This window comes from Homo sapiens, chromosome 20, assembly GCF_000001405.40.
Source record: "Homo sapiens chromosome 20, GRCh38.p14 Primary Assembly".
NCBI classification, from domain to species: domain Eukaryota; kingdom Metazoa; phylum Chordata; class Mammalia; order Primates; family Hominidae; genus Homo; species Homo sapiens.
In genome coordinates this window covers 59,900,846-59,915,259 of record NC_000020.11, presented here as the reverse complement: position 1 = coordinate 59,915,259, position 14,414 = coordinate 59,900,846, and the positions used below count along the sequence as shown (strand labels likewise).

General features: G+C 33.3%; 1 protein-coding gene across 12 annotated transcripts in view; it reads left to right on the top strand.

Moving 5' to 3' along the window:
- Window positions 1-14,414, top strand: part of SYCP2 (synaptonemal complex protein 2) — a 70,067-nt gene that overhangs the window by 18,378 nt on the left and 37,275 nt on the right. For all 12 annotated transcript variants that reach the window (XM_011528490.4, NM_014258.4, XM_017027587.2 and 9 more), the window contains 7 exons: window positions 61-95; window positions 1,009-1,151; window positions 1,233-1,285; window positions 2,842-2,887; window positions 3,415-3,510; window positions 7,836-7,896; window positions 13,450-13,598. In XM_011528490.4, coding sequence (XP_011526792.1) covers window positions 61-95; window positions 1,009-1,151; window positions 1,233-1,285; window positions 2,842-2,887; window positions 3,415-3,510; window positions 7,836-7,896; window positions 13,450-13,598 — 583 coding nt within the window. The remainder of the gene's footprint in view (window positions 1-60; window positions 96-1,008; window positions 1,152-1,232; window positions 1,286-2,841; window positions 2,888-3,414; window positions 3,511-7,835; window positions 7,897-13,449; window positions 13,599-14,414) is intronic.

Below are 14,414 nucleotides of genomic sequence, written 5' to 3'. Positions count from 1 at the left end.
TGTGGACTTCCTATTTAATTGATACTGGTCTATTTTGTAATCTGTTATTTTAATTCACAGGAGTAGTATGGGAGAAAGGATTTTAGATGCTGGAGGTAAGTATGTCTTTTCCAAATCTAAAATTATTCCATATTTATGAATAGCAGATAGTATCTTTTTAATTTAAATATTAGCATAGCAATGTGAGACTGAGGGAATTATAAACATTATGTACAATTAAGCAATTTTTAATAAATATACATGAAATTTGTCTGGGACAAAAATAATTTATGACAGTAGGCGTTAGATACATACAATTTGTGCCTAATGGTAGACTTATGAATAATATAGCTTAATAGCTTAAATTAATAGCTTAATTTAATAGCTTAATATAATAGCTTAATTAATAAAGCTTAAATTAATAGATTAATATAATAGCTTAATATAATGGCTTAATTTTTCAGTAGACCTGAACTACTTGTGCTAAGAAATTCCTCAGATTTTTTTATGAAATTAGGGTGTCTAATATTCTTCATATTGATGGATTTGTTTTTAAACAATGTGTTTATTAAAATAACTTAAAATTTATTTTCTAAGCTTTTTGTGAATGAATTTTAATATGGTGATTTACATGTAGAATAAATCATGGTTTAAAGTACTCTGGGATAACTGTAAACATGTTACACAAGAGGAAAACAGACTTTGTAACTTACAGACAACTGTGTGGGTTACTTTGCATTTTATATCTCTAATAATAATGAAATGGCAGTGTCTTTGAATATTTAGAAGTCTCAACATTTTTTTAAATTTTACTTATTTCTTCTGTTGGCACACTTGTTATTTGGGCTGTGTTAATTCCTCAAATGATGAGATATTTCTAATCCATATGAAGAAAATATTAATAGATTAATCAATTACATTAATATATTCTTATTTCTCTTGCTTATTCTAATACCTTGTAAAATATATGGTCTTTTATAAACTTAATTTTCATAATTGTAAATCAAACATTAACTATTTTTTTAATAGATTATGACTTACAGGTAGGCATTGTAGAAGCTTTGTGTAGAATGACCACAGAAAAACAAAGACAAGAACTGGCACATCAGTGGTTTTCAATGGATTTTATTGCTAAGGCATTTAAAAGAATTAAGGACTCTGAATTTGAAACAGTAAGTTGTATAACAATAACAGAAATTCGTGAATTTTTAAAAATTATTATGATTTTTAAAAGTATTTCTCTTTAAAATTAGGATTGCAGGATATTTCTCAACCTTGTAAATGGCATGCTTGGAGACAAAAGAAGGTAAACTTAATGCAAGATACAACCATTTACTGTCAAATAAATAGAGCTCAAGAGTGAGCACCCAGTGTTGCATCTTTATACATTTAACTTTATTCTTGTTCTCTACACTATGTTGGAGTGTAGAATGTGCATAGATAATTTAAAACAATAACATGATTTTAGCAAATTACTACACCAGTAATCTGAAATAATTCTGCACTGGCCTTGTTTTATTTTGTACTTTTTAGAGGGAAAAGTTCATTTCTGTTTAATTCATATTAATTAATAACTTTAGATGTTCAAAATTGGCTTACTATACTTCTGAGTTGCATATCCATTATTATTTAATGTTTGAGGGATAATAAAAATCTAGACATATTTATTACTTGAATCATCTCCTTCATCCACATACTGGAATGTAAATATATAGCAAACAAATCATCTTCCTTTATAATTAACATACAGTAAGTAGGATCTTTCTGAGGGGCATGAAAGGATGTGTAATATAAATTTTAATCTTTTTTTTATAACGACAGAAAAACAGAATTTGCAATGCCTAGCACCTCATAGATGTTCAACATAATTATTGGATGAATGAGTTCACATTTATTTTACTTACTAAAGAAATTAACGGTATTGTAAGGGTTGTGCAAGGAGTCATATTACCTGATTTGAATCATAAGTTCCTCTCTTCCTGTTCTAATATTGGGCAAATTATTTAACCTTACATGCCTCAGTTTCCTTAGCTGTTATATTAATAACTACCTCATATGTTTGTGATATAGATTAAAATGAGATAATATGCTAACTATGTAAAATAGTATCTAAGAAAGAATTCTGTGAATTTAACCATTTTTAATGTAATTATTCACTTGTATTCTTATTTAAGTTCTATGGAAACAATAAGCTAAGTTAGGAAACTCTGCTCATATTTGATAGCACACTGTATTAGTCTGTTTTAATACTGCTGATAAAGACATACTGGAGACTGAGACATTTAAAAAAGAAAGAGATTTAATTGGACTTAAAGTTCCATGTGGCTGGGGAAGCCTCACTATCATGGCAGAAGGCAAGGAGGAGCAAGTCCCATCTTACGTGGATAGCAGCAGGCAAAGAAAGAATGAGGAAGATGCAAAAGGGGAAACCCCTGATAAAACCATCAGATCTCGTGAGAGTTACTCACTACCGCAAGAACAGTGTGGGAGAAACTGCCCTCATGATTCTGTTATCTCCTACCAGGTCCCTCACACAACACATGGGAATTATGACAGTACCATTCAAGACGAGATTTGGGTGGGGACACAGAACCAAACCATATCACACACAAAAACATTTGGTGCAATCATTTTAGTCAGAATGGTAGATTGAGTAGTATTGTCAAAGTAATATGATTTTCTCTACATAAATGTCCACTAAACATGTATTTTGAAAAGTATTAAAGAGGGAAATATGATTTTATTTCAATTATTATGACCACTGCCTGATTTCCTTTTGATTCTAGGCATGATTTCTATTACTGGACAAGATTATGCTGTGAAAGCTTATTTATTTTTTTCTTAAACTACTTTTTATTTCAGGGTCTTTACATTTCCTTGTTTATCAGCATTTCTTGATAAATATGAGGTAAAATTTTAATTTAACACATTATTTTAGTTATTGCATGAATTTTGATAGTCAAGTGAATTATGAGTTAAAAATGAATAAGAACACTAAAAATAGTTGTAATTAGATCATGAATGTAGCTGGTCTAGTATTCTGTATCTGACAGTGAAACCAGGAGAAGTTTTATGGAACAGCATATTCATTGCCAAGAATAACTGAAAAATAAAGGCTGTAGTCCAGTTTTTCTCGTGTTTCCTTAAGACCATTATTGATTTATCATGTATGAATCTATTCAAACTAGTACTTTCAACCTTTATTAGCACTTGGAATATTCATAATTTCTTGGAGCTAGTTGATTTTTTATAAAATATTAAAGTAGCATTTCATTTGATTGTTTTTAAATTTATCTAAATATTATACTTGTCTGTTCTTTCTCTTCTCTCTCCTTCTAGCTTTGTTTTCTTGCTTTAGCCATGAATATAACATCATAATTGTCTGTTATTTCTAAAATCATTGTATATTCCAGTTTTGTATGTTTATTTTATTAGCTGCAAATACCATCAGATGAAAAACTTGAGGAATTTTGGATTGATTTTAATCTTGGGAGTCAGACTCTCTCATTCTACATTGCTGGAGATAATGATGTAAGTTTAATTTGGTTGGTATTATTCTTTATGTATATGCATATATAAGATTTTTACTTACTTTAAGAATGTGGATTTCTTTATATGTTCTAGCCAGTCTTTACCTAGATTTTAATATTAGCTCTAGTAGTTTGATTAGCATAGCAACCTACCAAGCTAATTATAAATGAAAACTACTTCTGATGTTTTATTGTATAAGAAAAAATAATGCTGAGTTTTAATGCTCATTTTTTAACATAAGCTTTTAAAAAATAAATGTTAATTTATGACAGTTAAAATTTTGTATTCACATAAACAAAGTGAATTGACTTTAGAAAAGGGAAGTTACTCAAATACAGTGGCATTCTATTGAAAATATTAACAGACAGTGACAAGTGGACCTAACTTAATCATTCATAAAACCTTCTCTTTGGAAATAGGACTTGAGTGGGAGTTAATTTTAGTTTTTTTCTTCCTATGCTTTATCATAGCTGTGCTCAGATCTTCCAAATAGGTGGCATATTTTCTGCTGACCTGCATATTTTTTACCTGAGGAAAATCCTTGAGCCATTATTTCATAATAGCTACCACCTCGTATTTGATACATTTGCATACATTTAGCTCAAATTATGCAGTCCGTTTGCCAAAATCTGAGTAAGAGTTGATCAGCATTTACTAATCTGGTTGTGGCTGGTGATATTATAATAAGGCTTTAGTCTTTTTAGTCTGTTTCTTATAGAATCCTGCCATTTGTTCCAGGTAAACATTTTATAGATGAACATTAATCAAATGCCTTTTAGGATTTCCACATGCCTTTATTGCTTTTTATTTTAAAGTACCTTCTTAGAATGCTTAAAATTGAGTTCCAATGACTAGCACTGCTTCTCAGGGGCACTGACAGTTTCCATTAGTATATTTCTCCTGCAGGATTTGTAGGAGTGTTTTAAGCTGATTTTTTTTCGAGGAGCTACTTAGGCAGGTGCAAAAGTAATTGCGGTTCTTGCCATTACTTTCAGTGGCAGAAACTGCAATTACTTTTGCACCAGCCTAATAGAATTTCGTTTTGGGAGAAGAGAAAAGTATTGTTATTAAATAGCAGTAACTACTATAAAGGAAATAAATAGGGCAGTGTTCCTTTATTCAGTTTGGTCTAATGGATTATTGAGATAAGAAAATAAGCAGTTAAACATGGTGAAACCCCGCCTCTACTAAAAATACAAAAATAAGCTGGGCGTGGTGGCAGGCGCCTGTAGTCCCAGCTGCTCGGGAGGTTGAGGCAGGAGAATGGCGTGAACCCAGGAAGCGGAGCTTGCAGTGAGCCGAGATCGGGCCACTGCACTCCAGCCTGGGCGACAGTGGGAGACTGTCTCAAAAAAAAAAAAAAAAAAAAAAAAAATAAGCAATTACACTATAGCAGTATACATGATAGGGAAAGTATAAAATGCATTTATAAGTATTTAATGCCTAGTGTGTTCCAGACACTGATCAAGATGCTGGGGGACTCTTCTTTCCAAAACTATATTTAGAATCCTCTCTCTTCTGAATTTCCGTAGCTGTAGTATGTTATCCCTTTATTCTCTCTTGTTCTCCATAAAAGCCATTCTCCACAGTGGCTCCTTGAATCCTTCTTCTGTCTCTCTGACATGGCATACAAGGCTTTTTGTGGCCTGGTCTCTGGCTGTTTCTCTGATATTTCATATATTTTCTATGATGACTGTGTTCCAGTCACATTTATTTTTCTATTTCTCTAACACAGATTATGCCCATCTTAGGTCTTTCTTAGTTCTTCTGCATAGACCTCTTCCTCCAGGTCCTTGCATCTTAGTTCTTCCCATTTAGATTTAAGCACAAATGTTGCCTTCTCATAGAGTATTCTCAGGTTACTCAATATAAAGTAGCCTCACAACCACATTATTCCACATTGTCTTATTTCCTTTATAGTAGTTATTATTTAAAATCATTTTGTTTATTTGTTGTTTGTTGTCTGCTTTCCCGCATAGAGTATAAGATTAGTTTATAGCTATTCAGTGGCTCATGTTTGTTGGAAGAATGAGTAAACGGAACATTGAAAGAATTGAAAGATGTACAGAGGGCATAGGGGATTGCAAAAATATAGGAAGTGTGGAGCCAAAGGAGGATTTTAAGTAGGAGGTAACATCAGTTCAATGAATATCTATTGAGAACTATGTGTCACGTATGTACTAGGCACTGGAGAACACATTTGTGTAAAAGATCCCCCCTGGTAGGGGAAATGGATAAAAATAGACTGGGGAGAATGGATAAAAAGAAAAAACACTAGAGGCAGTTAGGAGGCTTTTGCAATAATCCAGGTGAGAAATAATTGTGGGATGGTTTTGAGATATAACGATGGGCATGGATGGAAATTGATAGAATCCAGAAAGACTTGAGAGGAGACAGAACTGAGCAAACTTGGTGATTTGTTTGTAATTTTTTAAAAAGAAGGATTACTAAAATTTGGGTAGCTGGATGGAAGTTGAGCTGTAAGTAGAGATATAGAAGCTATCTGTATATAAATGACAGAACCATGGGTTTTAATGAGTGCCTATATGAAAGAACTATGAAAAACAAATTTCTACAGGATAAGTAGAAGAGATTTTAGCCAGAAGGATACTTGAAGAATCGGCCAAAAGGGAACAAATTAAAAGGGTATAGTGTTACGGACGACAAAGGAAAGGAGGTTTTATGAGAGGAAATGATCAACACAGTGAAATATTCCTGAGAGGGGAGGTTAAATAAAAACTGGTAACCCATGAAAGAGCAGTTTCACTTACATGGTGAAGAGTTTAGGCATTCCTAGAAAGTTAAAATATCGGTTAAGGAAGTAAAGACATCAAGTTAAGGAAAGAGCGTGACATGTGGATTCAATGTAGGGGTTTTTTTGGGTATATTAAGGATAAGAGCTTTCATAAATTGATGGTGAAGGGCAGATAGGGAGAGGTTGAAGGAAAAAATTGAGGTCAGGAGGAAGGAGTATAATGGAGAGTGGGAGGTGAAAATGGAACAAAATTGCTACAACATACTGATAACTGTTGAATCTGGGTAAGGGCATATTTTGGGTTTATAATACTATGATTTCTGATTAAAAATCTGTTTGAAAATTGCCATTATGTGTGTTTTTTTAAAAAGTGAACTAAGTGCCTTGATATATAAGGAAGAATCAGTTTTAAGTTGGTAGATGATAACAATTATTGGGAATAGAGTATGCCAACTGAGATATTCCTCAAAGGAGCAAGTTTTTTACACACAGAAATAGGAGGCTGCTCAAAGCCTTGGGGAAAACTTAGAATACTGTCCCTTTCCTCCTGATCCTGAGGTTTTGAGGTAAGGGAAAAAGGTGGTGATGTCATCAGGGTGTGACTGGTTTCAATTAAGGTATAGGAGAGAAGGGAATTGGTGAAAATAGTAAGGATTTAGAGGAAGTTCTCGGGAATGAGTTGTCCTTAAATAACAAAAGTATTTAGTTTTTTTTCGTTTTGTTTTGTGTTTTGTTCTGTTTTGTTTGAGATGGAGTCTCCCTCTGTTGCCCAGGCTGGAGAGCAGTGGTGCGATCTTGGCTCACTGCAAGCTCCGCCTCCCGGGTTCACGCCATTCTCCTGCCTCAGCCTCCTGAGTAGCTGGAACTACAGGCGCCCACCACCACGCCCGGCTAATTTTTTTTTGTATTTTTAGTAGAGACGGGGTTTCACCGTGTTAGCCAGGATGTTCTCCATCTCCTGACCTCGTGATCCGCCTGCCTTGGCCTCCCAAAGTCCCGGGATTACAGGCGTGAGCCACCGTGCCTGGCCAGGAATGGTATTTAATTTTTACTATAACTTTGTGAATTCAGTATCATTCAGTTATACACATTTTCAGTGAAAATACTTGGGGCAAACATTTTAGGTTATTATTCATGCGCATTCATATTTAAATCAAAGGACAATCAGTTAATGAGTATTGTGGTTACAGGACCTGGGATAGGTAGTAGGAGTGGGAATTGAGGAATGAGTATGACTTCATAAAATATTTCAAAGAAAACATAAAAAGACTTGGTAACATTTTTAAAAAGGGTATCCTCTAATAAATATAATATTAACAGTCATTCTTTTTTTTGGTTAAGAATAGAAAATTGTCAAAATCATCATTTCGTTTTAATAATGAACAAATACATTAAATATAACATGTGTAATATGTAGTTAATTGGTGGAGCAAGAAAGGTGTTATATAAACTAGTTACTTAGTGACTAGCAAAAAGAATTCATAGTTCCTGTAACTTGAAATTTGATGTTTAAAGAAACTGTAAATCAGAAATAAATTATTTATGGCCAAAACCTGCTTTTAAATTTAAGGATCATCAATGGGAAGCAGTTACTGTGCCAGAGGAAAAAGTACAAATATACAGCATTGAAGGTATTAAACTTGTTTTTTTCTAATAATTTTCTTAATTCTTACCATATGGAACAAATGTTACATCCTTTCTGGGTTAACAAAACAGACTAATGAAAGCAAAATCAATATTTTCAGAGGTTCACATTCAGAAATTCATCAAACACCTTGATCCCATGTTTCCCTACTAATCTCCCAGCTCTACCCCTGTACTTACCTCCTTCCCTGTCTAGTCTAAAACCAGTGATCCAGTTTGTCATTCTGGTCTCTATGTTTAAGGCTCCTGACCTTCCATCCCATTTGCTTGATTAAATCTGAATATCTGGTTTCTCCAATCCTATAACTGGAACTGCATAATGCTAGTGGACAAAATCAGACTAGTACTATTACAAATTTAGATATTAAGACATATTTTATCATTTCAATAGACATGTAATAATATCTCATGTTTTTTATTTGCATTTTTCCAATGACTAGTGATGCTGAGCACTTTTTCATGTGCTTTCTGGCCATTCATATATTTTCCTTTGTAAAGTATATATTTTAAATATTTTGTTCATTTTTTATTGGACTATCTAGTTCTTAGGTATCCTAGATTCCACTCCTTTGACATATATATGTTCTATGTTTTCTCCAAAATTGTATCTTGCTTATTCATTTTCTTAATGATATCTGGTGAGCAGTTTTAAATTTTGAAATCTACTTGATCTATTTTTATGGTTATTGCTTTCCGTGACCCAAAAAATTTTTGTCGACTCTTAAATCACTAAGATGTTCTATTATTTTTCCACAAAAATTTTATAGTTTTAGCTTTTATGTTTAGGAGTATTATAATCTCAAATTAATATTTGATTAAGGTATGATGCAGAGATTGGAGGTTCATTTTTTCATATAGATATGCAGTTATTACGGGATTATTTGCTGTAAAGGCTTTTCTTTTCCATTGGATTTCTTTGGTTTCTTTGTTGAAAATCATGACTCTGTAATAGTGTGTCTATTTCTTGGTCCTCCAATCTGTTCTATTTATCATAGGTCTACTTTTCTTTATGTCAGTACCACACTGTTTTGATTATGGTAGATTTGTGGTTAGTCTTGAAGTCAGTCAGTATAAGTCTTCCAACATTGTGGTTTTTTAAAATATTGTTTTGGAAATTATAGGCCTTTTGAGCTTCTATATAAATTTTAGAATTGGTTTATCAATTGCTTGCTGGAATTATGACTCAGGTTTTAGATCAATATGGGGAGAAATAACATGTTAACAGTCATAACTAGTTTATAAACATGGTGTATCTCTCCATTTGTTTAGGTCTTTGATTTCTCTCAACAGCGTTTCATAGTTTTCATTGTATAAGTCTTTTGATGAATTTGTTCCCAAGTATTCAGTCTATATGTTTATAAATAGAATTGATCTTTAATTTTACCAGTCATGGGATCTGCAAAAGAGGTAGTTTTACTACTTTCTTTCTGATCCTTATGCACTCCCTCCCTCCTTTCCTTTTGTTGCTTTATTGCAATGTATAGAACCTCCAGTGCAATGTTGAATAGAAGCGATAAAAGTGGACATCTTTGCCTACTTCCCAATCTTTGCTTAGGAAAGAACATTCAGTATTTTACCATTAAGTATAATGTTAGCCAAAAGTCTTTTGTAGAGATAACCTTCATCAGATTAAGGACGTTGATAACTCTTCATATTTGTCTATGCACATGAAACCATCATGGCAATTAAGTTAATAAACATATCACCCCCAAAATTTCTTTGTACTTCTTTTAATCTATCCATCCTTGTACTCTACCCCCAGGCAATTACTGATGTTTTCTTTGATACATTTACATTTTCTAGAGTTTATATAAATGGAATCATACAGTACGTAGCAATTTTTGTCCAGCTTCTTTCTTTTAGAACACTTTTTTAAAAAAAGATTCAAGCATGTTGCATGTATCAGTAGTTTATTCTTTTTATTGCTGAGTGTTAGTCCATTGTATAGATATACTTCAACTGGTTTCTGTAGTCACCTGTTAGTGAGCATTTGTAATGTTCCCAGTTTTTAGCTATTATGAAATGCTGCTGTAAATATTCATTTATAATTAATTACTTCTGAAAATATGTTTTTATTTCTCAGGTAAATACTAAGAAGTTCAGTGGTTAGTTCAGACCCATAGGCATATGATTAGCTTTTGAAGAAACTTCTAAAGTGTTGTCCAAAGTGATTTTACCGTTTTATATTTTCACTATCAGTTTATAAGACTTCCATTTGTTCTACATCCTTTCTAACACTTCTTATGGTCAGTCCCTCCTACCATCTTGCCTTGTTGCACTGGCTATATAATTTTCAGTACAATGTTAGTAGAAATTAAAAGAGCAGACATATTTGCTTAGTTTATGATGTTGGTGTTGAGGGTGAAGGGGATTATTTTTTCTTCTATAATTATTTCATGGTGACAATTTCTCTTGTTAATTCAGGTAAGCTAGTTATTTATATGGCACTTTCCCATCTCTCTCTTGCTCCCTCTCTTGCCATGTGATATGCCTACTCCCCTTTTGCCTTCTGCAATGATTAAAAGCTTCCTGAGTCCCTCATCAGAGGCAAATACTGGCACCATGCTTCCTGTACAGCCTGCAGAACTATGAGCCAAATAAATCTTTTTTTATAAGTTTCCCACCCTCAGGTGTTCCATTATAGCAGACTAATACAGACTAATATAGTCTTCTTCTAAAAAGATCTGTTGTTTCCTCTCTCGATCAGTCATATGTTGTTGCCTCTATGGATGTCAAGTAATTTTATGATAGATAATGCATATACAGGAACAATAGATGCTCCAGATAATCCTTCCACCAGAAGAGTTTCTTTTTTCTTCTTAGGCAGAGGGGCTGAAGGACTGATCCAGTCATGGATGTTGGTCTGTGTTTAGTTCTAGTTTTAAATTTACTCTTTGTCTTGTTTGCCTCTATTACTCAGGTGTGGCCATCCCAGTCTGTTGATGATGAGCCTATTAGATTTGTGTCTTCTGAACCTGAGAGACTGTGGAAGATACAGTTCTGCCTCTTAGAGGTTTCCAGCTCAGCTCTCGAGCCGTTCACTCTACTCAGTCCAAAATCTGGCAGATATTTTGAACGGAACACTGAGTATATGCCTGAGGATGATACCTGTATCAGGCAGTACATTGATTCCAAGCCCATGAGACTATAAGAGAGTTAACTGCCTTTTATCAGGTTTGGTCCAGCTCCTTGTGCTGCCCCAGAATGAAGGGAAAATTAGTTATGCCTTTAAAGCTTTTAAGTGTCCTATTTGTTACTCCAGGCATTACTGCTCACTAAATACTTGCTTGTCTTCTTTTCTCCAGCAGAGGTTCTCTTCTTAAGCCTACAAACAGAATTAGCAAATTTCCTTAGAGAAAAAAAGGCCAGAGATCTTGTTACATGTACAGCTCTCTGACACCTTTAAACATATGATATTTTAATCCTTCTGATTTTTTAAAACAGGATATTAGCCTGCCACAATATCCTACATTTTCCCCAGAAGTGGAAGTCTCCAGCTTCCAACTTTGGACTCTCACTGCTACTTGGCAGTCTTCCATGTCCATAGTTGCCATCCCTCTCCAGTTGTCTAACAGCTGCTATTTAAATTTTTAAGTTATCCTTAACCTTGCCTTTTTTGCTTTCACTATGATGTGGTAATTCAGAAGAACATGAATTTTTCAGGTAAGAATACTTACACATTTTGACCCTCCGTCTCCAAACATCTTTGTATCTGTATCCTCCTTTATCTCTCCTGTAAACAGAAGATATTTGTCTACTCTTGTTGAAGGGTAATTTCTCCAAGTTCTCCACACACATTCTCCAAGTCTTTGCTCCATCAGTTCATATTTTTTGTATCTTCCTCCTCTCTCTCAGTACCTCTTTTCTCTCAGTATATCAATGGGCTCAAATGTCTACATCATAAAACAAAAAGCCTACTTTTATCCTATGTCTTCCTGAAGCTATCTTTTTCTCCCCATTCATAGCTAATTTTGAGAGAATAGTTTTTACTCTTTCCTTCTCTTCCTATTCATTCTTATGTTATAAAATCTTGACATATTGATATCCATAAATACTTGGATTTTATAGCAAGCAACAAAACAAAGTTTTCTTGTATCTCAGTAACACTAACTAATTAAAAAGGAAACCAAGCCATTATATAGTCCAGACAGAGCAAATATCAGGAATTTCAACAAAGCAATCATTAAAATATAACAAATATTCATAAATTTCTATGTAAGTAGCCATAACATAGGTAGACAAATTTTTGTACAAATAGGCACAAAGCATTCAGCAAAATAATAAATTTGAAGTAGTTCTAATACCATGTGCAAGCAAGGAGTTAAAGCAAATATTACATTTAATATAATTTACAGTAAGCTATAGAAAAAAAGTCAAAAGCATATCAGAGGAATAAAACAATCAGCAGCAATAGACCTAAGAATTACAAATGTTTTAATTTTCATCAAAACATGAAACATCATTTTTAAAGCCACCTAAATTTGCATCTCTGAAACCTGAAAACTTGTCACTGTTTAACTTTTAAAAAACTACTAGCGCTCTTTGAGTTTGAAACTATGGTTACCACTTTCAAGCAATTGTTAATTCTTAGTACCTTCAAAGGTCATTACTGTGAAAGTTTTATGAGCATATATTTGCAAAAGCAAATAAAACATTTTCTGCTTGGGCAGGCCTCATAAGAATCAGGACATTTCATAGCCTATAGGACATTTGTCCCTTAGGCCACATCATGGCGTGGCCTGCAGAGCTTTTTCAGATGTAGAGATAAATTTCCCTACTTTGTGTGATCCTGCTCCTTCAGAGTGTTTTTCTCTTGCCCGAAAGTACATTGTGGGCAGGGTTGGAGACTTTTCATTCAGCAATAGAATTCCTGCCACAAGTAGGACACGAGCATGGTGGCCTCTGGTCTATAATACAGGTGCATTTATTAGGGGCCAGGTAATTTTTTGGTAACTTTTGTAGGGAGGGAGAGTGTGACTATTTCTTATAAGCTGGTACTTGCTGTATTCTCTGTTTACTGGATTGGTAAGTTCATTGAGGCCAAGTGCTAGATCCTTCTCACCTCACAATCTCCTGACACTTAATTTTTGTCAAATGTTGTTTATTGTCAGCATGTTATAACAACTGTGGATTTAATAGAAATGTTTATATGTGTATGTCTAGAAATATGGTAATTATATGGAATTAAAGTTATTGTTTTTGTTTGCCTTTTTTTAAATTAAGAAAATAGTATTCTCAGATGTGTTCAAGGAATATTTTATTAAGAATTTGTTAGAGTCCAGAATGTATTTAGGATTCTATCTTATTAGTTATAGCCATATCCTGTATTTTATAGATAAGAACACTGAGACTAGGAAAGCTAAATTGACTTGATTGATTTACATAGGTAAGTAGTGCCAGAATTGATTAATTTAAACACTGTTCAATATTGAGAATTTGAATTTTGATTCAATTAATCTGCTACATCCATGTCTTATTTATAGTATACTTGCAGAGTAGTATCATAGAAACGTAAACTAATCAGTGTTGTTTCTATACAGTGAGAGAATCAAAGAAGCTACTGACAATAATTCTGAAAAATACAGTAAAAATTAGCAAAAGAGAAGGGAAAGAATTGCTTTTGTATTTTGACGCATCACTAGAAATCACTAATGTAACTCAAAAAATTTTTGGTGCAACTAAACATAGGGTAAGTCTTTAAACTTAATAAATATTTACTATTTTCATAATTCTGGAAACAGTTTGGCGTTATAAGTTTTATTGCGTTTTTTCCTTTCTAGAATTCTTAAAATGTAGATTTTAGTTCTTTAAATTTGTACTGTTGAAGAGTCATCAGCTTGTTAGTCATATCTATTGAGATACCCATTACAAAGTATCTCAGATGACAAAATTAGCAGCAGCTGCTCAAAACATTTAATGAATTTCTGCCAGGTGTTTAAAAAGTAAAATGAGAGAAAACACTGTTTTCAAGATCTTAAACATCGTGAGAATTACACACATGATACATCAGAAGAAGTAAATAATGGCATAGGGAACATGAGTTGTAGACATTGAAGAAAGAGAATGCTCATAAAGAGTCAGGTTTGGAGGTTAGCATTGTTATGGATATGGGACTTGAAATGGCCTTTGAAGTTGAAGGAAAGCATTTAGATAAAATACTTTCCAGGCATGTGGAAGACATTATGAGCCAAATATTGTTTAACTGAGAATCTAAGGTGACAATTCATGTGATGTTTTGGGGAGATATTCAATTGACAAATTTGAATAGTGCAAAAGATTTATGTTGCATAATATTAGATGTATTTGTGAGGAACCCTTGTTCCTCACAAATGACAAGCTAAGGTGACTGGTTAAAGGGGAGTAATTGAAGTGTTCTGAGAAGGTATTCATATATGCAAAGTAATAATTTGGGATATTTGGCAATTTTGGAAGAAAACAGGAAATAATTACATTAAATGGAAATAAAATGACATATGAAAAAGTGGAAAGAAAATGAAGAAAATGT